The sequence below is a fragment of the Homo sapiens genome, chromosome 3, assembly GCF_000001405.40.
Source record: "Homo sapiens chromosome 3, GRCh38.p14 Primary Assembly".
NCBI lineage: Eukaryota > Metazoa > Chordata > Mammalia > Primates > Hominidae > Homo > Homo sapiens.
In genome coordinates this window covers 48,662,891-48,689,176 of record NC_000003.12, presented here as the reverse complement: position 1 = coordinate 48,689,176, position 26,286 = coordinate 48,662,891, and the positions used below count along the sequence as shown (strand labels likewise).

At 53.4% G+C, this 26,286-nt stretch overlaps 2 protein-coding genes and 1 long non-coding RNA gene across 16 annotated transcripts in view, besides 13 other annotated features; 2 read left to right on the top strand and 1 right to left on the bottom strand.

Moving 5' to 3' along the window:
* Positions 1 to 1,174, top strand: part of IP6K2 (inositol hexakisphosphate kinase 2) — a 29,219-nt gene extending 28,045 nt beyond the window's left edge. For all 13 annotated transcript variants that reach the window (NM_001005909.3, NM_016291.4, XM_006713200.2 and 10 more), the window contains one exon: positions 404 to 1,174. In NM_001005909.3, the coding sequence (NP_001005909.1) occupies positions 404 to 904 (501 nt within the window). In that variant the 3' untranslated portion in view covers positions 905 to 1,174. The remainder of the gene's footprint in view (positions 1 to 403) is intronic.
* Positions 371 to 871: an enhancer, noted in NCBI's record as "H3K4me1 hESC enhancer chr3:48725739-48726239 (GRCh37/hg19 assembly coordinates)". NCBI's record gives its function as "activates a minimal SCP1, AML or CMV promoter by ChIP-STARR-seq in naive and primed H9 embryonic stem cells {active_cell/tissue: H9 hESC(naive and primed)}" and the evidence as "EXISTENCE:reporter gene assay evidence [ECO:0000049][PMID:30033119]".
* Positions 872 to 1,372: an enhancer, noted in NCBI's record as "H3K4me1 hESC enhancer chr3:48725238-48725738 (GRCh37/hg19 assembly coordinates)". NCBI's record gives its function as "activates a minimal SCP1, AML or CMV promoter by ChIP-STARR-seq in naive and primed H9 embryonic stem cells {active_cell/tissue: H9 hESC(naive and primed)}" and the evidence as "EXISTENCE:reporter gene assay evidence [ECO:0000049][PMID:30033119]".
* Positions 2,419 to 3,150: an enhancer, noted in NCBI's record as "H3K27ac-H3K4me1 hESC enhancer chr3:48723460-48724191 (GRCh37/hg19 assembly coordinates)". NCBI's record gives its function as "activates a minimal SCP1, AML or CMV promoter by ChIP-STARR-seq in primed H9 embryonic stem cells {active_cell/tissue: H9 hESC(primed)}" and the evidence as "EXISTENCE:reporter gene assay evidence [ECO:0000049][PMID:30033119]".
* Positions 2,419 to 3,754: a biological region, named in NCBI's record as "Sharpr-MPRA regulatory region 90".
* Positions 2,755 to 2,824: an enhancer, noted in NCBI's record as "active region_19843". NCBI's record gives its function as "activates an Ori minimal core promoter by ATAC-STARR-seq in GM12878 lymphoblastoid cells {active_cell/tissue: GM12878}" and the evidence as "EXISTENCE:reporter gene assay evidence [ECO:0000049][PMID:35858748]".
* Positions 3,035 to 3,754: a silencer, noted in NCBI's record as "silent region_14338". NCBI's record gives its function as "represses an Ori minimal core promoter by ATAC-STARR-seq in GM12878 lymphoblastoid cells {active_cell/tissue: GM12878}" and the evidence as "EXISTENCE:reporter gene assay evidence [ECO:0000049][PMID:35858748]".
* NCKIPSD (NCK interacting protein with SH3 domain) lies at positions 3,262 to 15,333 on the top strand. Of its 2 annotated transcripts, none has more exons than NM_184231.3 (13): positions 3,262 to 3,540; positions 6,165 to 6,274; positions 6,625 to 6,829; positions 7,042 to 7,132; positions 7,397 to 7,890; positions 8,948 to 9,118; positions 9,290 to 9,376; positions 9,464 to 9,602; positions 9,720 to 9,800; positions 9,994 to 10,122; positions 10,208 to 10,300; positions 10,441 to 10,613; positions 14,430 to 15,333. In NM_184231.3, exons 1-13 carry the CDS (start codon positions 3,370 to 3,372, stop codon positions 14,631 to 14,633), a joined length of 2,148 nt encoding a protein of 715 aa, NP_909119.1. In that variant the 5' UTR covers positions 3,262 to 3,369; the 3' UTR covers positions 14,634 to 15,333. The 2 variants fall into 2 exon arrangements, with proteins under 2 accessions (NP_909119.1, NP_057537.1); NM_016453.4 differs by having other exon boundaries at positions 7,021 to 7,132.
* Positions 3,347 to 3,641: a silencer, noted in NCBI's record as "tiled region #90; HepG2 Repressive DNase unmatched - State 1:Tss, and K562 Repressive non-DNase unmatched - State 1:Tss". NCBI's record gives its function as "represses a minimal TATA promoter and a strong SV40 promoter by Sharpr-MPRA in HepG2 and K562 cells {active_cell/tissue: HepG2 | K562}" and the evidence as "EXISTENCE:reporter gene assay evidence [ECO:0000049][PMID:27701403]".
* A 4,669-nt stretch (positions 15,334 to 20,002) lies between the features above and the next one.
* On the bottom strand, positions 20,003 to 25,409 carry LINC02585 (long intergenic non-protein coding RNA 2585). The gene is made up of 3 exons (NR_111921.1): positions 25,364 to 25,409; positions 23,455 to 23,536; positions 20,003 to 20,078 (listed from the first exon to the last, which is right to left on the bottom strand). It is a non-coding gene; the product is annotated as a long intergenic non-protein coding RNA 2585 (long non-coding RNA).
* Positions 23,885 to 24,469: an enhancer, noted in NCBI's record as "H3K4me1 hESC enhancer chr3:48702141-48702725 (GRCh37/hg19 assembly coordinates)". NCBI's record gives its function as "activates a minimal SCP1, AML or CMV promoter by ChIP-STARR-seq in primed H9 embryonic stem cells {active_cell/tissue: H9 hESC(primed)}" and the evidence as "EXISTENCE:reporter gene assay evidence [ECO:0000049][PMID:30033119]".
* Positions 24,836 to 24,905: an enhancer, noted in NCBI's record as "active region_19842". NCBI's record gives its function as "activates an Ori minimal core promoter by ATAC-STARR-seq in GM12878 lymphoblastoid cells {active_cell/tissue: GM12878}" and the evidence as "EXISTENCE:reporter gene assay evidence [ECO:0000049][PMID:35858748]".
* Positions 24,966 to 25,325: an enhancer, noted in NCBI's record as "active region_19841". NCBI's record gives its function as "activates an Ori minimal core promoter by ATAC-STARR-seq in GM12878 lymphoblastoid cells {active_cell/tissue: GM12878}" and the evidence as "EXISTENCE:reporter gene assay evidence [ECO:0000049][PMID:35858748]".
* Positions 25,640 to 26,225: an enhancer, noted in NCBI's record as "NANOG-H3K27ac-H3K4me1 hESC enhancer chr3:48700385-48700970 (GRCh37/hg19 assembly coordinates)". NCBI's record gives its function as "activates a minimal SCP1, AML or CMV promoter by ChIP-STARR-seq in naive H9 embryonic stem cells {active_cell/tissue: H9 hESC(naive)}" and the evidence as "EXISTENCE:reporter gene assay evidence [ECO:0000049][PMID:30033119]".
* Positions 25,640 to 26,285: a biological region, named in NCBI's record as "NANOG-H3K27ac-H3K4me1 hESC enhancer GRCh37_chr3:48700385-48700970".
* Positions 26,096 to 26,285: an enhancer, noted in NCBI's record as "active region_19840". NCBI's record gives its function as "activates an Ori minimal core promoter by ATAC-STARR-seq in GM12878 lymphoblastoid cells {active_cell/tissue: GM12878}" and the evidence as "EXISTENCE:reporter gene assay evidence [ECO:0000049][PMID:35858748]".

The following is a 26,286-nucleotide window of genomic DNA, read 5'->3' as shown; positions in this document are numbered from 1 at the left end:
TCAAAATAAAAAGGTTCCAGATTTGACCCTACATGAGTCTGTTGCTTTTTGGTTAAAAAAGAAAGCATGCATGCCTGCATGATCCTCTCTCAGATTGGTCTGGTTGGCTGAGTCCAGAATCTGTGGATAGTAGTAGGGAGGAAGGCAAAAGGGTTTGGTCCTCTCCAGTGACCCAGATGTTGAGGTGGGGTGCTGGGGCACAATGACCAAACCCAGGTTGGATGGCTGCATCCCAGGTGGGGGCTGATCAGAGAGCATAGTGGACAGTGGCTCATGTGCAACTGGTGTACTTTATCTGATCTGGGCTGTCACATGCCGCCACCACCACACCACCCCACCCCCGCCCGGGGTCCAGGGTTTGAGATGGCCCTCAGCCCCTGACTTGCTGGTCTCTCTCCTACAGGTGTACCAAGCAGGCAGTGGGCAGCTCATGTTCATGAACAAGTACCATGGACGGAAGCTATCGGTGCAGGGCTTCAAGGAGGCACTTTTCCAGTTCTTCCACAATGGGCGGTACCTGCGCCGTGAACTCCTGGGCCCTGTGCTCAAGAAGCTGACTGAGCTCAAGGCAGTGTTGGAGCGACAGGAGTCCTACCGCTTCTACTCAAGCTCCCTGCTGGTCATTTATGATGGCAAGGAGCGGCCCGAAGTGGTCCTGGACTCAGATGCTGAGGATTTGGAGGACCTGTCAGAGGAATCAGCTGATGAGTCTGCTGGTGCCTATGCCTACAAACCCATCGGCGCCAGCTCTGTAGATGTGCGCATGATCGACTTTGCACACACCACCTGCAGGCTGTATGGCGAGGACACCGTGGTGCATGAGGGCCAGGATGCTGGCTATATCTTCGGGCTCCAGAGCCTGATAGACATTGTCACAGAGATAAGTGAGGAGAGTGGGGAGTGAGCTTGCTAGCTGCTCCAGTACTTGAGAGCGACTCTGTGTCCCAGGCACAGCTGTGCTGCGTCAGGGAGGAAGCCAGTATGGCCAGGTGGTGGCTCCTGCAGCCTGGAGCTGATGTGCAGTGGCCTCTGTGAGCCCCAGCCTGAGCCAGTCCCAGCTGTGCTTGGAGTCTTTATTTATTTTAACTATTTCTTCAACATTCCACATTTGATGATGATACCTCTTTCTTCCCTGAGTGTATATGTTCTAATACAAATCTTTTTGTTTATTGTATATAGTGCTCCTGTCATTCTTTCCAAGAGCAGGCAGTCCCCCTCCCAAGCCTCACCACATGCTGTGACCACCTCCCTGGCTCAGTATTCTCCTGGCTGCCACCCCCACTCCATGGATCCTAAAGTCAGCACAACCTCTTGGCATGGTGTACAGTCTCCAACCCAGCATCCTGAAGGTTACCCAGAAAGGATCCCCAAGTTACATACCTTCTGGCGTCTGTGCTGGCTAAGTGTCTCAGCACCTCTATCCAAAAACCACATGACGCTTGACACAGGTCTTCTCATGGGCCGTATGCAGCTTAAGCCAATTAGATAGCAGGTGATCCAAACCTTGGGTCCAGCTTTTAATCCCTCCTATGCCACTGGCAGCAGCTAATTGGCTGGCTATTGTGATAGATGTCCTGGAAGCAATACTAGGGTCTCTAGCCTCGGGTCTGGTCCATTGGCAGCCATGGACTGTGTTGTAAAGGGGCCCAGGTGATGGAGGGTACCATAAAAAGGCGTGTTTGGGCAGGTAGGGTGGTCCTCTTGGCCACACCACCTGTCACCACTCCTGCCCAGCCCTAGTCCCCATTGCAATTTCACCAGTCTTATTCTTCAGGCAGTCCCAGACAGCACAGACCCCGAGATTCTGCCCTGCCCCAGGAGGGCTTCTGGGAGGAGGAAGGGCCAAGAGAGGTCTTGAACTGAAGAGCCAGACCTGGTGCAGAGAAGGCAGGGTCTGGATGTCAGTTTCTAGCAGTTCTACCCCTCACCTGAACCTCACACTAGGCCTATGTACTTTAGGCCTAAAAATAGGCAACTGGGTCAGACAGACACCCATAATCCCAACACTGGGAGGACTGCTTGAGTCCGGGAATTTGAGACTAGCCAGAGCAACATAGCAAGACCTTGTCTCTACTAAAAAAAAAAAAAAAAAAAAAAAAAAAAAAAGCTGAGTGTGGTGGTGCATGCCTGTAGTCCCAGAGACAGTAGGCTTGAGCCTGGAAGATCAAGGCTGCAATGAGCTTGATCATCCCACTGCACTCCAGCCTGGACGACAGAGCAAGACCCTGTCTCAAAAAATAAATACAGATAAAAATAGAAAACTTGCACACACTGGCCTGTACACGCCTCCTGCTTCCTGGGCTCGGGCTTCCTGTGGAGCGTAGCTGGACCATTCTCAGCCACAGTCTCTCCAGGACCCTGAGGGCCTCTTCCCTGGGTCTTCCAGGCACTCTTATTACACGGATTTCATATATCTGGAGATCTGGGCTGACTGGAAAGCTGGGTGGATCAAATAGGCTCTTAAGGCCACCGTGGTACCCCACTCCCTCTTTCAGCCCTCCTCTATGCTCTCAGAAAGGGGCATCGCAAATCTTAAGTCCTATAAAGACAATAAAACACAGCAAGATGATAGCGATTGATGGGGGTGGGAGCTTGACGGACAAATACTATAGGAGAGGGAAGGGAAAATTGTCCCAGGTAGAGGGAACAGAATATGCAAAGGCCCAATATAGAGAAAACCAGCCATAGCTGAAGAGAGAGGAGGAGTAGGGGTGGGGAGCAAAGATGGGAGGGCTTTAGACAGGGAATAGCCCCGCCTGGTTTCTGCTTTTGTGGCCCCCTTCTCCCCACACTTGCTCCCCACTGGCCACCACCGGCACTCGGTGAAGACAGGTGGTGAGGCCTAGACACACCGAGAGCCGGGCCCCGCGGGGGCTTCCAAGTGTCGGATCAGCAAGATCATCCTTTCGAGGTCGCCGTCCTTGCAATTAGTAGATGGGACCCACTGCCCCAGGGCGGTAGGGGCGCACCCGCTACGAGCGGAGCGCGCTTTCACCGGGAGGTAGGACGGGACGCAGCGCTCGGACTTAAGCGGGGAAAGGGAGCAGAGGGCTGGACGGGTGAAACTGAGGCCGGGGTGAGGAGTGAGGGTGCGGTGTCCGGGGATGAGGGGCCTGGAGCCGGGAGGGACCAGAGGAGACAGCGAGCTGTCGACCCCAGCCCCGCCGCACCTCTTGGGGCCGCGCGGGGGCGCTGCTCTCCGATGCGTGGAACGATACAGCCCGGGGCGGGGCTTCGGCGGGCGGGCGCGCGCGCGCCTGCGTAGTGTGTCACGGGGCGGGACAACCGCGGCGCGGCTCGGCGCTCCCGGCCTGGCGTTGTGGCGCCGCAGCCCTTGCCACCTTCCCTGCACCTGCCCTGCCCGGCCTCATGTACCGCGCGCTGTACGCGTTCCGCTCGGCGGAGCCCAACGCGCTGGCGTTCGCCGCGGGCGAGACCTTCCTGGTGCTAGAGCGAAGCAGCGCGCACTGGTGGCTGGCCGCGCGGGCGCGCAGTGGTGAGACGGGCTACGTGCCGCCAGCCTACCTGCGCCGCCTGCAGGTGAGTGCGCCCCTTCCCGCCCGGCCTCCGCGCCCCTGGGGCAGGACCCCTTCACAGCCCCGCGGAACCGACCCAGGGACCCCACCCTCTCCGGGACCCGAGGCCAGGACCTCTATCAGACAGGGAGTTTGAGAACCTGACCCTGAGACCCCCGGACCCACGGGGACTGAGACCCCAAGTGTCAGCATCACCCACAAAAGACCAGGCCCTTGACAGACCAACTCCCGATCGACCAAAAGCCTAACTCTGGGACTGAGACTCCTCAGGACCCCAGACCCTTCAGTATCGAGTCCGCCATCTGAATGGCGACCCTGAGCCCCACCGAATCCTGGCCAATTATTCAAATCCCTGAGACCCCAGATCCTTAATATGCCCCTTCTCTGGATTCCTAGGACCCCACAACCAACCTCCCTCCCTCCCTCCCTCCCTCCCTCCCTCCCTCCCTTCCTTCTTCCCCCAACCCCGCGCCTTGCCCCCCGTTGGAGCCACCACTGAGACCTGGACCACCTTGGACACCACCTGTTTCCCTAGCCATTCTCCAGGTCCTCAACCCCCCAACTTGGACCCTAGAGCCATAGACACCTCCATCCCCTATGTAACACCCAAGCTTTGGTACTTCAGTGTCTTTCACTAGCCTGTGTTCAGCCACCCTCTAAGCTCTTCTTAAGTCTCTACCAACCTTATTTGAACCAAGGACCCATGCCCCTGCTGACACTGTCTGCTCCACTCCCCAACCCTGACTTCTCAAACTTTCTTGCTTTGAAAATGGGTTCCATCCCTACTTGTTCCCAGCCTGGAGTGGGGACTGCTCACATTGTGATGAAGTGAGTTCTTATAGCTTCTCCTGGTCTGATCGTGGCCCCATTTCCTTCCAGTGGAAGCTGCAGTCCCAGTTCCTGTTTCCCTAAGAGTAGCCCTGCTGCGGGGGTTGGGGTGCGTATCTCCAGCTGGTCTATTCTGACCACAGGGGGAAGAAGGGCCCAGAGCTGCCGGGCCTGTGCCAGACACCCCCGCCCCGTCCTAGTCCTTATCCTTTAGGAAACATCCTGTCCCAGCCCAGTTCAGGACAGAAATAACGGGATAAATTTGGAAGTGTCATCTGGTCTTACCAGGAAGGATGGGCCCTGGGGGCCTAGGGGCTTCCTCATAGACCCTTGGCGTGATCCCATCTAGGAGTGCCAGGGGTGGGAGTGGGGGCCGTGGACACCATGGCTGCTGTGTGTCAGACCCAACCTTTTTGGGAATGGGGTCTCATTGAAGGCCTCTGAGGAAAAGTCCTGTCTCTTCCCCTACTGGGCATAGGTCAAGGGCCTGTGAGTCCCCTGCCGCCAGCCAGGACCAGTGGGGCAAGGTGTTTGGGGAGGGCAGAGAGGCTACCATCTTCTCTGTCACTGTCTGTTTCTTTCTGCGTGTCTCTTTCTGTCTGGATTGCTGCGACTCTGTGCCTCTCTGCCTGTGTCGTTCCGACTCCACATGTGTGTGTTTTTGTTTCTTCCTCCGGCTCCCCCCACACTCTGGCTTTGGCTCTGTTTCTTTCTGCGTTGTTTCCCTCTGTCTGCCTCTCCGTTCCTCTCTGAGCTCCTCTCTTTCCCCATTCCTTTCTTTCTCTCTCTCTCTGTGTGTGTGTGTGTGTGTGTGTGTGTGTGTGTGTGTGTGTCTTCATGTCTTTCTATCCCCCTGTCTCCTCTCCCTGCACTCTGGCACACCTCATACCACCTGGAGGGCTTTGCTGACCTCTGTGCCCACCTGTCTGTGCCCATCAGGGAAGCTTCTCAAACCCATGGTGGAATGAGTTCATCTCAGCTCCGGGACTCCTATGTAGCCTGATGGACTACGTGTGCCAGGGCCAGGGGAGGGCTGGGGGTAGCTGGTTTGATAGCTGCTACCCTACACTCCCCATGTCAGATAGGCAGAGTAGACTGGATCCCTGGAATGTTGGGGATGGCAGTACAGAGCCTGGAACAGGGGCTAGGCCCCTCTCTCATGTTTATCCTTTGCCACAAACACAGAACTGCTTCCCAGGGTGGGTTTGGAAGCTTACTGAGACATCTTGTGGGGATGAGGGCCAGCAGCAGGGTTGGGGAGGGCAAGTCCCTTTGACCCATTCTCAGCTCCCAGGGCTTACAGAGGGCCCTTACAAGGACAGGGCTGTTCTGGGGTATGACCTTGGTTTTGTGAAAGATCAGCAAGATGCAGAGTGATGTATTAAGGATTCCAGATACTGGAGACTTCCTGTTTGGCATCTCAACCTGGGCTCTGAGCCAAGACCAGGGATAGACGAGGTATGCGCTCCTGGCTGCAAGCTGGGAGCCCCTGGGCTATGTTTTTGCTTTAGACCTCTGATTTTCAGAAACATCTTAGCCAAGAGCCTTGCTGTGGGGTAAAATCCTGATCAGGACCTAATATGTAATGTGGCAGCATGGGGGTCACCCTGTGCCTCAGCTCCCTGAGTGATACAGTTTGAGAACCCCATTCCATATTCTGGTTCAACTTTTTGTGCTATGTCTAGCATTCCAGGCTTTCGCTATATTGGTTCTCTGCCCTGGGTTCTATCTCGGGCTGGGCCTGGGCTGAGCACCTCCGTTTGGCCTTCAGGTCTAACTGCTGTCCCCTGCCCCCCCCAGGGCCTGGAGCAGGATGTCCTCCAGGCCATTGACCGGGCCATCGAGGCTGTACACAACACAGCCATGCGGGATGGTGGCAAGTACAGCCTGGAACAGCGTGGAGTCCTCCAGTGAGTGTTGAGGGGAGTGAAGTGGGACCTCCCGGTGAGCATGGTGGGGTGGGGTTCTTCAATGAGTGTCATGGGGCAGGTGGGCCTGGGAAATGCGAGGGTTGGCAAGGGTGGTGGGGGAATGGCACCTCCCAGTGAGCAAGGTGGGGTCGGGTCCTTCAGTGAGCACCAGGGGTGTGCAGAGCGCAGGACTGAGGATAGTATGGGGTACTGTAGGCTGGGGTGGAGCATGGAGGAGATGGGGATGTCTGAGGGGCCTGGGCTATGGGGTCCCAGCATCCCACAGGGGCATATGAGGACTTTGAGCTGTGAGATGCAACCCCCCAATAGTCTTCCTGTCCTTCCATCAGGAAGCTGATCCACCACCGGAAAGAGACCCTGTCACGCAGAGGCCCTTCAGCCTCCAGTGTTGCAGTTATGACCTCATCAACCAGTGACCACCACTTGGATGCTGCTGCAGCCAGGCAGCCCAATGGGGTGTGTCGAGCTGGGTTCGAGCGGCAGCACAGCCTACCCAGTTCTGAGCATCTTGGGGCAGATGGAGGCCTCTACCAGGTGTGTGGGGAGGACATCGTGGAGAAGGGAGGTGGGTGGAACTTGAGGCTTCATCCAGAGGCTCAAGGGGTCCACTCAGGAGTGATGCGGCCCAGAGCCATAGTCCTGCCCACAGCCAGGGCTCAGGGCCCGAGCCTCGCTGACGCTCTAGATGTCAGTCTGTCCTCCAAGATCCTACTTCCATCTTCCAGATCCCACTTCCATCTTCCCAGATCCCACCACAGCCTCGCCGAGCAGCACCCACCACACCGCCCCCACCAGTGAAGCGCCGAGACCGCGAGGCCCTGATGGCCTCTGGGAGTGGTAAGAAGGCAGGGTTAGGGGAATTCAGGTGGAGGCACCCTATGCTTGGAATGGTTGTGCTGCCTGTGTCAGGGAAATGGAGGCTCTAAGCTGGGGAAGAGGACAGGACTCCCATTTTGGGGCAATTAGGGGCTCTGGGCTTTGTGAGGAGGCAGTGCCTAGCAGAGAAACTAGGCCCTGTGTTAGGGGACAGGGGATCTGGGCTGTGAAGGGTATGGTTTTCCAGGGGGCTGCCCTGGCCCAGCTTCTACTCACTGCTCGCAGGTGGCCACAACACCATGCCCTCCGGGGGTAACTCTGTGTCCAGCGGCTCCTCAGTCAGCAGCACCTCCCTGGACACGCTCTATACCAGCTCCAGCCCATCTGAACCAGGCTCCAGCTGCTCACCCACACCCCCACCTGTGCCCCGCCGAGGCACCCACACCACCGTGTCCCAAGTCCAGCCCCCTCCCTCCAAGGCATCAGCACCTGAACCCCCTGCAGAAGAAGAAGTGGCAACTGGTACAACCTCAGCCTCTGATGACCTGGAAGCCCTGGGTACACTGAGCCTGGGGACCACAGAGGAGAAGGCAGCAGCTGAGGCGGCTGTGCCCAGGACCATTGGGGCCGAGCTGATGGAGCTGGTGCGGAGAAACACTGGCCTGAGCCACGAATTATGCCGGGTGGCCATCGGCATCATAGTGGGTCACATCCAGGCCTCGGTGCCGGCCAGCTCACCAGTCATGGAGCAGGTCCTCCTCTCACTCGTAGAGGGCAAGGTGAGGGTGGGCGGCACAGCAGGGCCACCCTGCTACCCACCCTGTTCCCACCGTCACACACTTGTCCAGCCTGTACATTACAGGTATTTCTCAAGCTCTGGCTCTGAGCTCTTACTGTGCTGGGCACTGGGGACGTTGAGCTGATTTCTGAAGCAGAAAGGAAGGACAAGCATTCCAGGCAGATGCGCAGCCTGGACAAGGGCCACAAGGCAGGACTGAGCCTGGCTTGTGGGAGGAAGTGGAACAAGGCCTGCAGGACTGGAACACAGGGAGTGAGGGAGTGGGTGCTGTAGGAGGAGGTGAGACCTGGGGCAGGTGACAGATAAGACGACATGCGGGTGGCCAAGAGTTCTGTCTGGCTGCAGGGAAGGAATGGACACGGCGTGGGTGAGGGTAGTGCCTTGCTGACCTTGGCAGTAAGAGACATGGGTGCTGGGAGAGCTGGGATGGAGTCCTAGGTGCTGACATGGATGAGAGGGAGTGAGGTGTGTGGGCATCATGGGATGGGTGGGATCCTTGGCACTCATGAGCAGGATGGGGGCAGTGAGCCCAGCATACATGATGGGGGTCAGACAGACCAAAGGTCCCTCTTTAGTGCTCCATGGTTCCTGTTACACTTCTGGTTTGGGTGTTGGGGAGTGGGCCAATGGGCTTGGCTGTGCTGGGCACAACAGCTAGTGCCTGGTCAGCAGGGTTCAAGGAAAATGTGGCAAGTTGGTAGATGACAGGCCTGTGCCATTTTGTGTGGAATGGGAGAGTGAGGTCTCAGAGTCACATTCTGGCAGTGACAGAGTTCATGGCCCTCCTAGTTGGGGGTGTTTATCCAGGTCTGGGATGAGAGGCGAGCTGTTGAAAACCCCCTACAGATGAGTCTCCCGTTGACTCCTGTCCTGGGAGGTCATCAAGACTGGAGTTGAGCCTCCTGTCCAGTGTGGGCCAGGAGGGACTTGAGTTCATGGAGTAAAAGTCCACAGATGGACTCTCCAGGCCTTGGAGGCTCCCTGGAGATGGTGAGGGCAGGGAGTGTGCTGAGTCATGCCTTGCCCTCTCCCTCTAGGACCTCAGCATGGCCCTGCCCTCAGGGCAGGTCTGCCACGACCAGCAGAGGCTGGAGGTGATCTTTGCAGACCTGGCTCGCCGGAAGGACGACGCCCAGCAGCGCAGTTGGGCACTATATGAGGATGAGGGTGTCATCCGCTGCTACCTAGAGGAGCTGCTGCATATTCTGGTAAGGGTGGGGTCCCACACACATACCCCACATGGGGAACAGTGGCCCCCACCCTGTAGCATCCCTCACAGTGCTAGGAGTCTCCCCTACACATATGTGCTCAGCCCTCTCTTGTGCGGCTGCACAGCTCCGCTCATGGTGGCTGATGCTCTCACTTCCTCATTTCTGTAGACTGATGCAGACCCTGAAGTTTGCAAGAAAATGTGCAAGAGAAACGAGTTCGAGTCTGTCCTGGCCTTGGTGGCCTATTACCAAATGGTATGTGCAGGATGGAGGGGAGGGGTAATGGAGAGACCTAGATAGTGGGGGAGTTCCAGGCACTGAGCACGCAGGGTTCCCTGCCAGGAACACCGAGCATCACTGCGGCTGCTGCTCCTCAAGTGCTTTGGCGCCATGTGCAGCCTGGATGCAGCCATCATCTCCACGCTTGTGTCATCCGTGCTGCCTGTAGAGCTGGCGAGGGACATGCAGACAGACACGCAGGGTGAGGCTGGAGGGCGGGGTAGGAGGGAACTTCCTGCTATCTGGAGGGTGTTCCTGCCATCTGCTGGGGTTTCCTGCCATCTTTGGGGACTCTGACTGCCTGCCTTGTCCCCCCCAGACCACCAGAAACTCTGTTACTCTGCCCTCATCCTGGCCATGGTCTTCTCCATGGGAGAGGCAGTGCCCTATGCACACTATGGTAAGAATGCAGTAACCGACCAGCTGATCACAGGTCCTAAGCCAGGGCCCATTGCCCGAGGGCCTGGGACCTGCTGACTACACAGCCTAGCAGGGAGAGGCTATCCCCAAGGCTCACAGAAAGCCAGGAAGGGTGGGTGGTGCGGGGGTCGGAGGGGAATGGGGCTGCAGACTTCTGTGCGCCCCTCTCCCAGAGCACCTGGGCACGCCTTTCGCCCAGTTCCTACTGAACATCGTCGAGGATGGGCTGCCCTTGGACACCACAGAGCAGCTGCCGGACCTCTGCGTGAACCTGCTTCTGGCTCTCAACCTGCACCTGCCAGGTGGGGTGGGGCCTGGCTGGGCGGTGGCTGAGCACATGGTGGCTCTCAGGCTCAGCACCCTGTCTATACCCATGTCCTTCCTTAGCTGCTGACCAGAATGTCATCATGGCTGCCCTGAGCAAACACGCCAATGTCAAGATCTTCTCCGAGAAGCTGTTGTTGCTCCTGAACAGAGGGGGTGAGGGCCCGGGAATCTGCGCGGGTACCACTTCCATGCCCTGTGACTCCATGACCCCTGCAATGACTCCCGTAACCCCCTGGGGTGACTCTGGGATCCCCACAAGGTCCACCCTGACCGCTATGACCCCTGCCTCCTAGATGACCCTGTGCGCATCTTCAAACATGAGCCACAGCCACCACACTCTGTCCTCAAGTTCCTGCAGGACGTGTTTGGCAGCCCGGCCACAGCTGCCATCTTCTACCACACAGACATGATGGCTCTCATTGACATCACTGTGCGGCACATCGCAGACCTGTCACCAGGAGACAAGGTGCCTGGAGGTGGCTGCAGCAGCGGGGGTCACTGTGTGGAAACTGAAACAAAATGGTGGGGGGCATGACATTGAGTGGAGATGAGGGGGCAAGGCCACTGCTGGAGCCAGGTAAGTGTAGGAGGCCATGATAGGTGCACCAAGACCCAAAGGAGCCAGCCATGAGGTGATCTGGAGGTGGTGGGGCTGGAGGAGGCTGGAGAGGAGGGAGTGGAGGGAGATGAGGCATGGAGGATGGAGTTTACACAAAGCCTCGGAGGCTGCTGCAAGAGGTTGTGATCTCAGGACCGGGGAATGTGATGTGATTAACATCCCACATGGAATCAACTGCATGCCAGCAGAGTGGAAGCCAGCCAGGGAGGAAGCAGCCTCAGTGGTCCAGGTGGCATGGATGGGGTGGGGATGGGATAGGTCGTGGCAGTGGCAGTGGCGAGAAGAGGCCAGCTGTGGAGTGTTTAGTAAGTGGATCTGGCAGGGCTTGCCACTTGATTTATCTTGAGCAGCTAGATGGATGAAGTGCTGATTTTTGAAGTTGGGGAGGCTGGGAGAACTTCTTGGGGGAAAATAGAGAGTCGTGTTTTGAATGTGTCAAGAATGAGGAGATATCTGCTAGACACCCAGGTACCGAGGGCATCAGGGAGGCAGTGGGGAATGAGTTGAGACTAGAGAGACATTTCGGAGTGGTCTATGCAGAGATACGATGGGAAGCCTGTGACAATGTGATTGCCTCAGAAATGAGATAGATAGGCAGGTCAGCGGGAAGTTCGGGCTGCAGCCCTGGGCACAGCTGAAACAACTAGGGAGAAACCCAGGAAGAGAACCAAGAAAGCAGGAGCCCAAAGCCACATGTTTAGAGGAAGACGATCAGCCATCTCTATACCGTTAGGAGCCTGAGCGAGACTGGGGTTGGCCATTGGATTCACCACACAGAGGTCAGTGGTGCCTGACAAGCAGTGTCAGTGGGGTGCAAGGAGGAGAGTCTGAATGAAAGTTTGAGAGAGCTTGAAGTTATTGGGGAGTAGAAATGAGGGGAGGGTTGGAAGCAGTAAATGGAGACAACTCTTGTGAATTTTCTATTAAGGGGAAGAGAAAAATGGAAGGGAGGTTGCTGGAGAGAGATGACATGGGGATAGGGAGAGTGTTTTTTTGGGGGTTTTTTGTTGTTGTTGTTTGTTTGTTTGTTTGTCTCCCACTGTTGCCAAGGCTGGAGTGTAGTGGCACGATCGTGGCTCACTGTAACCTCCGCCTCCTGGTTTCAAGTGATTCTCCTGCCTCAGCCTCCCAAGTTGCTGGGATTACAGTCACCCACTACCACACCCAGCTAATTTTTATATTTTAGCAGAGACAGGGTTTCGCCATGTTGGCCAGGCTGGTCTTGAACTCCTGACCTCATGCAATCCACCTGCCTCAGCCTCCCAAAGTGTTGGGATTACAGGTGTGAGCCACCGTGCCTGGCCAGGGAGAGTGTTTTGAAGATGGGGGATGTTGGCCAGGCGCGGTGGCTCATGCTTGTAATCCCAGCACTTTGGGAGGCTGAGGTGGGTGGATCACTTGAGGTCAGGAATTCGAGACCAGCCTGGTCAAAGTGGTCTCTACTAAAAATACAAAATACGAAAAATACAAAAATTAGCTGGGTATGGTGGTGGGAGCCTGTAATCCCACCTACTTGGGAGGCTGAGGCAGGAGAATTGCTTGAACCCGGGAGGTGGAGGTTGCTGTGAGCCAAGATCACACCACTGCACTCCAGCTTGGGTGACAGATGGGGGATGTTGGCCAGGTGCAGTGGCTCACGCCTATAATCCCAGCACTTTGGGAGGCCGAAGTGGGAGGATCACTTGAGTCCATGAGTTCAAGATCAGCCTGGGCAACATAGTGAGACCTCTGTATAACCTGATGGACCACAGTAGAAAATAAAATTAGCTGGGCATGGTGGTATGCACCTGTAATTCCAACTACTTTGGAGGCTGAAGTGGGAAGATTACTTGAGCCCAGGAGGTCAAGGCTGCATTGAGCCATGATTGTGTCATTGCACTCCAGCCTGGGCAACAAAGCCAGACCTTGTCTCTTTAAAAAACAAAAACAAAAATGGTACGGATGATGGTGCATGTTCTGAGCCGGAGGGAATGATCCAGCAAGCACAGAGAGATGGATGATGTGTTGGAGATGGTGAGCCACCACAGGAGTCAAGTGGATGGGGCAGGAGGGGAGAGTTCAGGTCCAGGCCCACATGGACAGGAGCTAGGGCTGCTCATTCTGGTAGGGACAGGTGAGATGTGGGTACTGAGGGGAAAGACGGGTTTCTGCAAGATTACTTCTGTATTCTCTATGAAGCACAAGGCCAGCTGACAAGGTAGGTAGGTTTCAAAGACAGAGAAGGTGGACATTATTACTACTCTAAGGGAGAGTGACACAGCAGAGAAAAGCAGTGGGAGGCTCAGGCAGTGCTGTGTGTCCGTTTGAGGTTTGCGGTGGTGAATGACATTCAGGCCTGCACATGGCTCTGCATTTGTCTATAGCTTAGACGCTGGTGTTTGATGTGCAGGCACCTCAGTATGACTCCCAGGGCTGGGACTTAGCAGGGTGTGCTGCCTAAAGGAGGTTTTGGTATTATTTCTCTAATTAAAGGTAAAAAGAGAAATGAGGGATGTTGAGGGAAGCAGACATCAGGTCAGTGGACTGGGGGTCTCTGTGAGAACAAGCTGTCAAGTCATAAGGGCTGGCCGGGCGTGGTGGTTCACGCCTGTAATCCCAGCACTTTGGGAGGCCGAGGTGGGTGGATCACTTGAAGTCTGGAGTTTGAAACCAGCCTGGCCAACATGGCGAAACCCCGTCTCTTCTTAAAAAAAATACAAAAATTAGCCAGGCATTTTGGCACATGCCTGTAATCCCAGCTATTTGGGAGGCTGAGGCAGGAGAATCACTTGAATCCAGGAGTCAGAGGTTGCAGTGAGCCAAGATCATGCCACTGCACTCCAGCCTGGGTGACAGCACGAGACCCTGTCTCAAAAAAAAAAATGATATATATATATATATATCATATATATATATATATATGATATATATATATAGATCATAAGGGCTGTTGGAACTGGTTCAGCCAGAGGTGTTGGGAGTATAGGTTGGAGGAGAGGCTGTTGGAGATGAATTTGGGGCATATGTAGGAGGTAGGATGGCCAGGTCTTAGACATGGCTTGGATATGAGGTATGTGGGAGACAAGAAGCAAAGAGGACACCATATTTCAGGCCTGTGCTTTTGAATCGGCAACAGTGCTCTTTCTAAAGGTAAGAACATGAGAAAACCTTCAACTCTGGGAGGATGGGAAAGATCATGAGTTTGGTGGTAGATATGTGGATTTGAGGTCTGTCACATGTGCAGGAGATGTCAAGTGGGCAGTTGAATATTCTTGTCTGGAGCTCACAGGGGAGTTCTAGGTAAGAGGTATGAGAGTGGTTCACTATTTGAAGCTGTGAATGTGCACGAGGTCTTCCAGGGTAAGAGAGGATAGGGTGAGAAGCAGAGGGCCTCTGACTGATAGACAGAGGCACCTTGAGAGACCCAGCTTCAAAGGATGGGCAGGACTTCCCTGGGCAGGCCACATACTTGGGGCTGTCTGTGGCTGGGATGATTCGTTTATTCGCTTACTCAAAAACTATTGAAGACCAATTCTGTGCCAGGTATATTGTGGGTGCTGGGGATGCAGCCCTGATGTTCAGGTCCACAGCCCTGGGGTCTGTGGGACAGTGGGGTCCTGTCCCTGTCCAGTGGTGGTTGCAGTACCTCCCTGGGGTCCCTGAGCTGGCCTGCTCTTCCCACAGCTGCGCATGGAGTACCTCTCCCTGATGCATGCTATAGTCCGCACCACACCCTACCTGCAGCACCGCCACCGGCTACCCGACCTGCAGGCCATACTGCGACGCATCCTGAATGAGGAGGAGACCTCACCCCAGTGCCAGATGGACCGCATGATTGTCCGAGAGATGTGCAAGGAATTCCTGGTGCTGGGGGAGGCTCCCAGCTAGCACCTTGCTGTCCTCCCTTCCCTGCAGCTCCAGTCAGTGTGCAGGGGACTCAGGGGCTTGGCCCTAAGAATGTTTTGCACTGACAGTGGGAGGGGATAAGGTGGCAGAAGGAACCTGAGCAGGACCCCCACCTGAAGTAGAACTTAAGAGAGGGGCCAAGTGTAGGATTGGGGACCATGGTCTGGGAGCTGTTCTGGGGCAGGGGGAATATGCAAGCTAAAGCCCCTCTATACCCTGGTAGGCTTCCTCTTCAGCATGCCCCCCTCTTCACCCCACACCCATGTGTACACTCAGAGTCCTGCTGCCGCTCCAGGCTGGACCAGACCCCCATCCCCACCCCTCCTGGTCTGTATCCTGGGCCTCAGCAAGCCATGCCCCTGGGGTGAGGGGAGGCATCTCCCACCAGCTCTATTCTTTGCCTTAGCTTTGCAGTGAGTGCTGCTCATGTCCTCCCCTCCACCCGCACATGGGGGTCGCTGCCCTTCACTCCTACCCCCAGAGGCCTTGGCCAAGCTGCTGCTTTGAAAGCGGGATCTTGGAGACAGGCCATCCATCCTGGAGCCTCATGGAACAGGATGATGGCACTGAGAAAGCCAATGACCGAATCTCTTTTCTCTGTAAAAATGTAGACTGAAAAGCCATGTGTATTTTCCTATGTGCTGTAGCTCTCCTTTGGAAATAAATCACAGGCATCTGGAAACAGGCTTCCCTGTATGATCTTGGGAGACAGTGGGAGAGGATGGGCAGAAGTACTGGGGCCTCAGGACCCCATCACTGCAGCTTGCACTGACTTCTCCAGCCTGAGGAGGTGATGGACCCTGACAGGCCTGGCCTTCAAGGCCCTTTGAGCCCTGTTCTAGCCTCTCTTCCCTGAGCTCCACTTTTCCTGAGCCCCAGCCATAGCCAAGTGCCCCTCAGCAGCCCATTCGCAGGTGTCTGCATCTCCAGGCTTCACTTACACACTTACATCTTTCTTTTTCTCCTTTTTTTTTTTTTTGAGACAGTCTCACTCTGTTACCCAGGCTCACTGTAGCCTTGACCTCCCAGGCTCAAGTGATCCTCCTGCCTCAGCCTCCTGAGTAGCTGAAACTACAGTAGCCACCATGCCCAGCTAATTTAATTTTTTTTTTTTTTTTTGGTAGAGACAGGGTCCTACTATGTTGCTCAAGCAGGTCTCAAACACCTCAGTTCCGGTGATCCTCCTGCCTTGGCCTCCCAAAGTACGGGGATTATAGGCGTGACCCATCGCACCGGCCCGCTTACATCTTTCACTTACATCTTTTGCTTTGCTTTGAATACCGCTACTCTCTCCCCTGTTGAAACCCTATTGTCCTTCATAGTTGTTCTCAAATGAAGCAGGCCCCTACCTACCCCCAGCCCTGGCCTCTGAATGCTTGGGCCTGTCCAGCCCTATTTTCTTCCCCCATTTGTCCTTGTTTCCAGCAAGATCACCTCATCTTGCAACCTCAGCAGAGATCTGGTAATCATGGTAGGGCAGAAGGAGGGTCTTAACAAGCATGGGGTTACGTTTCCATTAGTGTTTTAGAGGAACTAAGGGCCAAAATTTGGCAAAAACTTCACTCTTGCAGACTCTCAAGTTAGCAAAGAAGTTCTCACCATAAGTTTGGGAGCAGAGTCAGAAACCCACAGGCAGACACCAGTCAGAAGTGTTGTTTCTGTTTTCTAGATTGAGTCTCACTATCTTTTCAAGGCTGATGTCCAACTCCTGTGCTCAAGCAGTCCTCCCACTTCAGCTTCCCGAGTAGCTGGGACTACAGGCACACACCACTATATAGGCTTCACACACAAGTGGTTTTCATCAGTTCCCTTTATTTTTTACCCAAACTCTTCATTCATCAGATGTTTCCACACATCAGCAATCACTGACACTGACTTCTGGTCATGACTTTTTCTTTCTTATTGGGGTGCTGAAAACAGAGGGCAGTTATCCTCCCAAAAAGAAGGTAAAGCAGCACAGGGAGGCAAGGGCTAGGGATGGGGCCCCCCAGCAAGAGGCTCTCAGAAGTTGAAGCAGCAACATTCCATAGGAAACCCATGGGAGGAAAGTATGGGGTCCTGGTGGGGGATGCCCTGCTCACCGCTTACTGTCAGAAGGCCAGGTGCACAAACTCACTGGGACCTGAGGAGGGGTTGACAGTGTTTGGCCCCCAGTAAAGCTCTGTGGGACACAACCTGGTTACTAACTTTTTTTTTTTTTCTTTTTGAGACGGAGTTTTGCTCTTGTCACCCAGGCTGGAATGCAATGGTGTGATCTCGGCTCACTGCAACCTCTACCTCCCAGGTTCAAGCGATGATTCCTCTGCCTCAGCTTCCCGAATAGCTGGGATTACAGGTGCCCACCACCACATCCAGCTAATTTTTGTATTTTTAGTAGAGACGGGGTTTCACCATGTTGGTCAGGCTGGTCTCGAACTCCTGATCTCAGACGATCCACCTGTCTCAGGCTCCCAAAGTGCTGGGATTACAGGTGTGAGCCACCGCGCCCAGCCCCCGCTTTTTTTTTTTTTTTTTTTTTTCAGATGGAATCGTGTTCTGTCACCCAGGCTGGAGTGCAGTGGTGTGATCTTGGCTCACTGCAACCCTTAACCTCCTGGGTTCAAGCAATTCTTCCTGCCTCAGCCTCCCCAGTAGCTGGTATTACAGGCGCCTGCCACCACACCCGGCTAATTCCTGTATTTTCAGTACAGATGGGATTTCGCCATGTTGGCCCGGCTGGTCTTGAACTCCTGACCTCAGGTGACCCACTCACCTCCGCCTCCCAAAATGCTGGGATTACACGCATAAGCCACCACGCCTGGCCTGGTTACTACTTTTAACCCTGGAGACATTCTGCCTCCTTTTCATATCCAAAGTCAATGACACTGACTTCCAGTCACAACTCCTTTCTCACTGGGGTGCGGAAGGCAGGGAAGTATTCTTATGAGATAGTGTATTTCAGTAAAAAGCACAGGTCCTCAGGAAGCTGAGGCAGGGACATCGGACAGCCTTTGTGACTTGCTGTGTTTCCTGTCATGATGCACACACAAACCCTGTGGGAACGGCAGGACTGTGCTGTGCCATCTGTCCCAGTGCTGGCACCTAGGTCAAACAAGGTATGGCCCCATGGCAGAAGCCTCTGCTCACTTCTGCAGGAGTGCCCAAGGTGGGCCCTGGCACCTGTTTGTAAGAGAAGCAGAAGCCCCAGCTGATGAAGTTACATACATGCTGACTCCTGGTAGCAAGCGTGCTCTGAGGGGACTCCAGGACCTCTTCAGCAAACACCCTTGTGGTGGCCTCACAACACAAAATTACAACCAAAGGCAGATTATGATTAGTCAGAGAAGTCCTCTTGGGGAGGGAACTGTCTTTGATAGAACACGTCTATGGCTGCGTGGAAGGTTGGTAGATGTGATATGTGGGTAGGCAGTAGGAAGGGCAATGAGACAGAGCATTAAGCCACCCCAAGAAAGGGGAGTGTTTGGGTAGAGTTGAGAAGAACTCAAATTTTGGGGGACAGTGAGGGGGTTTGGGCTGACTTCCTGGGTCAGAAGTTTCTGAAGCTGCAGCTAGGAATGGGTGTGTAAGTGTGCAGGTGGCTCACACCTGTAATCCTAGCACTTTGGGAGGCCGTAGAGGGAAAATCGCTTGAGCCCAGGAGTTTGAGACCAACCTGGACAGCATAGGAAGACCCCATCCCTACAAAAAATACAAAAATTAGCTGGGCGTGGTGGCCCACACCTGTAGTCCTAGCTACTCGGGAGGCTGAGGTGGAAGAATCACTTATGCTCAGGAGCAATTGCACCACTGCACTCCAGCCTGGGTGAGAGTGAGACCCCAACTCAAAAAAAAAAAAAAAAGTGCTGGCACCGTGTCTTTGGCATATGTGCTGAGCCATAAGCTGCACATGCATAAGGCCAACCCCAGGATGAGGGGTCAAGTAATTCTGTCTCAGCCTCCTGAGTAGCTGGGATTACAGGCGTGCGCCACCACACCCAGCTAATTTTTGTATTTTTAGTAGAGACAAGGTTTCTCCTTGTTGGCCAGGCTGGTCTTAAACTCCTGACTTCGGGTGATCCACCCTCCTTGGCCTCCCAAAGTGCTGGGATTACAGGCATGAGCCACCACACCCAGCGTATCCATCCACTGTTGATGACCTTTCAGTTGTTTCCAATTTTTGTCTGTTGCAAATACTGCTGCCAGGAGCACTGTTGTACATGTCTTCATGTTGCTCATACGCATTATTTTAGGAGGGTATATTCCCAAATAAAGAGTGGAATTTCACGGTCACAGGCAGATACTGCCAAATAGGTTTCCAAAGTAGTTGTACCAATGTATGCTCCTTCAGTAGTGTCAGACAGTTCAAGCTTCTATCTTTCCCAAAACTTGGTATTGTCAAGTCATTTTTATTTTCGCTATCCTGGTAGAGTGCAGTAGTCCTCCCCTCTCCACCTTTTTTTTGGGAGGTAAAGTCTTGTTCTGTTGCCCAGGATGGAGTCCAGTGGTGCATTCTCAGCTCACTGCATCCTCCTCCTCCTGGGTTCAAGCGATTCTCATGCCTCAGCCTCCCAAGTAGCTGGGACCACAGGCGTGGGCCAACATGCCCGGCTAACTTTTGTGCTTTGAGTAAAGACAGGGTTTTGCCATGCTGGCCAGGCTGGTCTCAAACTCCTGGCCTCAAGTGATCTGTCCATCTCAGCCTCCCAAGGTGCTGGGATTACAGATGTGAGTCGCCTCACCTAGCCAGTATTTATTTTTTTCAATTTGCATTTCCCTGATGACTAAAGAGGTTGAGCACCTTTTCAATATTATTTGAATGTTCTCTTTTGTGAAGTAACTATTCGAATCTCTTGCCCCATTTATCTGTTTGTGTATATTTTATTGATTTGTAGTATGTATTCAGGATATGAGTCCATGGATGTTCTATCTTAGAGTATCTTCTCCCACTTTTAATGTCTTTTGATAAAAGAAGGTTCTCAATCATTATGTAATCCAATTTATCAATACTTTCCTTTATAGTTAGTGTATTTTATGTCCTATTAGACAATCCTGTTAGACAGTCCTGTCCTGTTAAAAAATCTTGACTGGCTGTGGTGGCTCATGCCTGTAATCCCAGCACTTTGGGAGGCCAAGGCAGGAGGATCACTTGAGCTCAAGAGTTCCAGACCAGCCTGGGCAAAATGATGAGACCCTGTCCCTACAAAAAAGTAAAGAAATTAGCCGGGTGTGGTGGAGCATACCTGTAGTCTCAGCTACTCAGAGGCCAAGACAGGAGGGTCCCTTGAGCCTAGGAAGTCGAGGCAGCAGGGAGCTATGATCGCGCCACTGCACTGCAGGCTGGGCCACAAAGTGAGACCCCCATCTCTAAAAACTTTTTTAATATAAAAACAAATTTTTTAATCTTTGCTTTCACGCTTGTGAACAGCCACTGCACTCCAGCTCCCGTCTCTGTAAAAAAAAAAAAAAAAAAGTTTGCTTAAAGTCACCTTTAAGATCTTCTCTTGGCCAGGTGCAGTGGCTCACGCCTGTAATCCCAGCACTTTGGGAGGCCGAGGTGGGCGGATTACAGGGTCAGGAGATCGAGACCATCCTGGCCAACATGGTGAAACCCCCATCTCTACTAAAAATACAAAAATTAGCTGGGCGTGGTGGCATGTGCCTGTAATCGCAGCTACTCGGGAGGCTGAGGCAGGAGAATTGCTTGAACTAGGGAGTCAGAGGTTGCAGTGAGCCAAGGTTGCACCACTGTATTCCAGCCTGGCGACAGAGCGAGACTCTGTCTCAAAAAACAAAAAACAAAACAAAAAACAACAACAACAAAAAACAAAACAAGGTCTTAATACTGTTTTCTAGAAACTGTATATTTTCAGATGTCAAATTTATATGGAATTGATTATGCAAGCAGTGTGAAATAGAGATCTCATTTAATTTTTTCTATATGGATATCCAACTGACCCAGCATCATTTATTGAAAAGCCTATTCTTTCAGTTAATAGAGTTGCTCCTGGGGAAACAAAAAAAAGAAAACAACCCTTTCTTCATGTTAGCTCTGAAGAACCACCCTTGTCAAAATTCAAGTTTCCACACATCTTCAGGCCTGTCTCTGGATTTCGTTCCTTTAGTCTTCCTATCCTCGTACCAGTACCACACAATCTTGGTTTCTTTTTATTTTTTAATTTTCATTCTTTTTTTAGATACAGGGTCTCTTGCTCTGTTGCCCAGGCTAGAGTGCAGCATGTGATCATAGCTCACTACAGCCTCGACCTCCCCAGAGCTCACATGATCCTCCCACTTCAGCCTCCCAAGTAGCTGGGACTATACAGGCATGTGCAAAATTTTTGTATTTTTTGTAGAGATGGGGTTTTGCTGTGTTGCTCAGGCTGCTAAATCTAGTTTGTCAGTTTACACACACACAAAATCTAGTGGGATTTTTTTTTTTTTTTTTTTGAGACAGAGTCTTGCTCTGTCGCCCAGGCTGGAGTGCAGTGGCGTCAACTTGGCTCACTGCAAGCTCCGCCTCCCCAGGTTCACGCCATTCTGTCTCAGCCTCCCAAGTAGCTGGGACTACAGGTGCCCGCCACCACACCCGGCTAACTTTTGTATTTTTAGTAGAGACGGTTTCACCATGTTAGCCAAGATGGTCTCGATCTCCTGACCTTGTGATCCGCCCGCCTCAGCCTCCCAAAGTGCTGGGATTACAGGTGTGAGCCACCGCACCCAGCCAAAATTTAGTGGGATTTTTAACTGAAGTTGCATCGAATCCATATATCAATTTGGGAAAATTGGCACCTTTATAATATTGACTTTTCCAATATTGGAACAATTTTTCACTTTATTTATGTCTTTATTTCTCATTTTTTTTACTTTTTTTTTTTTTTTTTTTTTCAGATAGCGTCTGGCTGTGTTGTCCAGGCTGGAGTGCAATGGCATGATCTTGGCTCACTGCAACCTCTGTGTCCCAGGTTCAGGCACTTCTGCCTCATCCTCCAGAGTAGCTGGGATTGCAGGTGCACAACAGCATGCCCAGCTAATTTTTTTTTTTTTTTTTGAAACGGAGTCTCGCTCTGTTACCCAGGCTGGAGTGCAGTGGCGCAATTTAGGCTCACTGCAAGCTGCACCTCCCAGGTTCACGCCATTCTGCTACCTCAGCCTCCCGAGTAGCTGGGACTACGGGCGCCCGCCATCAGGCCCGGCTAATTTTTTTTTGTATTTTTAGTAGAGACAGGGTTTCACCGTGTTAGCCAGGATGGTCTCGATCTCCTGACCTCATGATCCGCCCGCCTCAGCCTCCCAAAGTGCTGGGATTACAGGTGTGAGCCACTGCACCTGGCCAAGCTAATTTTTTTGTATTTTTAGTAGAGATGAGGTTTCACCATGTTGGCCGGACTGATCTCTAACTCCTGACCTCAAATGATCCACCCACCTTGGCCCTCCAAAGTGCTGAGATTTCAGGCATGAGCCACCAATGCCAGGCCTATGTCTTTATTTCCCTCAATAATGTTTTATAGTTTTTTTGTATGTGTGTATGTAGTCTTTGCACATCTTTCATTAGGTTTATTCCTCAGCATTTGATATTACTTGATGCTATTGTAAACATCATTGTTTTTAAGAAAAAAAATTTTTTTTTCTCGTTCACTGCAACCTCTGCCTCCCAGGTTCAAGTGATTCTCCTGCCTCAGCCTCCTCAGTAGCTGGGACTACAGGTGCCCACCACCACGCCCGGCTAATTTCTGTATTTTTAGTAGAGACGGGATTTCACCATGTTGGCCAAACTGGTCTCAAACTCCTGACCTCAGGTGATCTGCCCGCCTTGGCCACCCAAAGTGCTGGGATTACAGGCTTGAGCCAACATGCCCAGGCAAGAAATTTATTTTCTAACTGTTGGTGACATATAGAAATTGCAACTGATTTTTATATATTGATCTTGTGTCCAACAACTTTGCTGAACTCATTCTAACAACTTACCTATAGGTTCCTTTGAAATTTTTACATATACAATCCTACTGCTTGTGAATTAGTTTTTTTTCCCTTCCAATCTTCATAACTTATTATTTTTCTTGCCCTACTGCACTGGATAGGCCCTCCGATATAATACTGAGGCTTGTGGTCATGAATATAAAATGAGACCAATTAGCACGGTTGTTTGTTTTTCTCCAGCAATGTTCTGCTGCGCTAGAGGCAAACAATACGTAAATAGTCTATTTTAACGGGGTTAGATTTTAGCCCAGCAAGTTTGTCTAAGAAGAACAGGGCAGGCCGGGCACAATGGCTCATGCCTGTAATCCCAGCACTTTGGGAGGCCGAGGCGGGAGCATCACAAGGTCAGGAGATCGAGACCAGCCTGGCTAACACGGTGAAACGCCGTCTCTACTAAAAATACAAAAAAAAAAATTAGCTGGGCATGGTGGTGGACGCCTGTAGTCCCAGCTACTCGGGAGGCTGAGTCAGGAGAATGGTGTGAACCTGGGAGGCAGAGCTTGCAGTGAGCCGAGATCGCGCCACTGCACTCCAGCCTGGGCGACAGAGCAAGGCTCTGTCTCAAAAAAAAAAAAAAAAAGAAAAAGAAAAAGAACAGGGCAGGGAGTTTCCGTGGCACTGAACTCTATAAGGCTAATGACACAGGTCAATAGCTGAGGTGATGAACAATGGACTCGAGATCTCAGTGAGGTCAAAGAACTGCTGGATAATTGAGCTGGACAGGTTGGCCAGGTCTTCCCCTGGAAAGGTACACCTGGCTGGGAGTAGACAAACACAGGGTGGGGTGGAAAAGGCAGGAGAAGGAAAGGCTGAGAAGTGTTAGTGGCAGTATCTGCCACACCCTTACCCTGGTCTTCTGATCGCTCCATCTGCCGCCCAGCAGCCTCAAATCCAGGTCTCTGGGTCCTGGGTGGACCTCTAGTTGGGAGCTGATAAGAGAAGGAGGATAGGCTGGGCACGGTGCCTCATGCCGGTAATCCCAGCACTTTGGGAGGCTGAGGCGGGCAGATCACTAGAGGTCAGGAGTTTGATACCAGCCTGGCCAACATGGTGAAGCCCCATCACATGGTGAAGCCCCATCACACCACTTCACTCCAGCCTGGGTGACAGAGTGAAACTCCATCTCAAAAAAAAAAAAAAAAAAAAAAAATGAGGTTAAACCACATAGGGGTCTTATTAGGAGGCAAGGGCAAGATTTGGAGGTGGAGAGAAGAACTACCACCACTATCACTAACATCTGGTTTTTGTTTTTTTTTTTTTACCGGGAGTGCATTAGGAGCTGCCAATGGGGCTGGGGCATAGAGGTGAGTGCAGATTGAGGGAGAGGGGCTCCACAGAACAGCCACAAAGGGAGGATGACAGTGGGATGACACACAGCAGGCAGCAACATGGAGAGTGATCCGCAATCAATCTCACTACTCAGAAGTGAGGAGCTTTGCTCTCCAAAAGGAGTGTTAGCTGGGACCAGCGCCAGCCCTATTGGTGAGAGGGCAGGGCTTGATTTCCCTCAGCCATAGTCCCTTTATGTCTCTGCACATTTGCCCACACAGTCTCCAAGACCTAGGATGCCCACCCCCAATCCCTATCCCTCCCTGCCCTTCCTTTGCAGATGCGGATCTCCCCTTGGTCATTCAAGGCACTGCTCAGGCATCTTATGCAAGAAGGCGTCCCAGGTTGCGAAGGTGACTCAGACGCCTCCTTTGGGACTCCAACACCCTTCCCCGGCAGAGCCCCTGCCTGTCTGCCTCCGTGGTGTCAGGTTTTGTGCCCTCTACTCACTAGATTGTGGACACAGAAAGCGCTGGTGCTGTCAAAACCACTTCTGGGTTGCCGGGCGCGGTGGCTCACACCTATAATCCCAGCACTTTGGGAGGCCAAGATGGGCGGATTGCTTGAGCCCAGGAGTTCAAGACTAATCTGGCCTACATGGTGAGACCCTGTCTCTATAAAAAATGCAAAAATTAGCCAAGTGTGATGACATGTACCCGTAGTCCCAGCTACTCGGGAGGCTGAGGTGAGAGAATCGCCTGGGGAGTTCGAGGCTACGGTGAGCTGTGATCACCACTGCACTCCGAAAGAGTGAGACCTTGTCTCTAAATAGATAAATAAAACTACTTTGGGGGACTCGCTCCTCCAGCCCCTGCACCGATTGGCTCCCATTCAAAGGAGTTCAGCCCTAAGTGCCTCTGCAGATCTTCCACCCCCACTCACAAACCCGTAGGAACCCCGGCCGTGTATCAGGCCCAGAGCTCTGATCCTGGGGAGGTCCTCAGATTCGTAGACAGGAGAGGGAACAACTGGACACCTGTTGCCTGACCTTGGTAGCCACAAGGGGCGCTCGGGAGGTGGAACCCGCAGAAGCCCCGCCTCCCGGAAGCGGAGCAGTCAAGGGGCGAAAGGATGCGCCGACTGATTGGTTGATGGTGATGTCATAGGGACCGTTCGGGGCGGGCCAGAGGCCTTGGCCAGGAGTTCCTCGCCTGTTAGAACCAGGATCCACCCCATCGCGGGAGCCGCACCCTGTGGAGCGTTCTGGGGTCCCGGCCCTGACCTCTTCCTGGGCTTCGGGATGCCCGCGTCCTCTGCACCCGGCGCTGCAGCTCGTTATCGATTCCGCCTTTGGAGGCCGGTCCGTATAGTGTACCTCCCGGACTCTCTCACGGTTAGCCGGCAACCCGCGGAGCCCCCTCCCCCATGCGATGAGTCCGCCGTGAGGGGCGGGGCCTCCCATTGTGCCAATAGAAACAATGACTGACCGATTGGAGTGCTCCGCGTTCACCCCTCGCCTCCGCTCCTCTCGTGACGTCTGTTGCGCCAGGTCCACCCATTGGCCTGGCGAGACCGGCGCGTGCCAGGAGTTACGCAGGGAGAGCTGGAATGCACCGAGGGTGGGGGGAGGACTGAGTTTCTGTGTCAGTCCCTTCAAGGGGTTAAGGCATGCGGTCGTGACGGACGAGGGGCGGGGACCCGAAGAAGCGGGGCCCGCAGCCATGGGGCAACGCCGGGCTCCACGTGGCATCCCAGAGCACTCGGGACTCGCAGCCTGGGAGGGGGTGCAGCCTCCAGTGAAGGGGCCCCGAGCCCGGGAGACTGCTGGGGACCAGCAAGGCAGGGAAGAATTTGGCCTCTGCTCCCGCCTCGGGAGGGTCATCTCTGGTCCCTGCTCCGCAGGGGCGATCCAAACAAGCAGGTGGTCGCGACATGTTTCATAAAACTAGCTGATGGGATAGTTAAAGCTATTGTTCGGGGTGCTGGCACCCCAGACCCCTCTCCAGCCATCGTCCCCTCTACCCCAGGATTTCACACAGTACCCCCTCCCAGAGCTATGAGAACGCTCATGGGCACCAAAATTTCAGACCAAAATCCGGGACACGGTTCAGAACTAGTGGTCAGGAAGGGGGAACAAGAGATCTGGAAGGACAGAAAAAGGCTGGGAGACGGAGCTGGGACAGCGCCCTAGAAGGAGGGAGGTGGGTGAAGGCGGCGACCGAAAGTGGGGAGGGCGGACCCAACGACGGCGAACCTTCGCGCTCTGTTCAGCACCAGGAGCAACGCTCACGTCCTCAATAAAGATGGCGGCAACATCTTCGGTCCTCAGAGCTGCCATGCGCGATGGGTTGTACCACCGTGTTTCGGGCGCCGGGGCAGAGGTGGAGCGAACCATCGGGGCGGCCGGGAG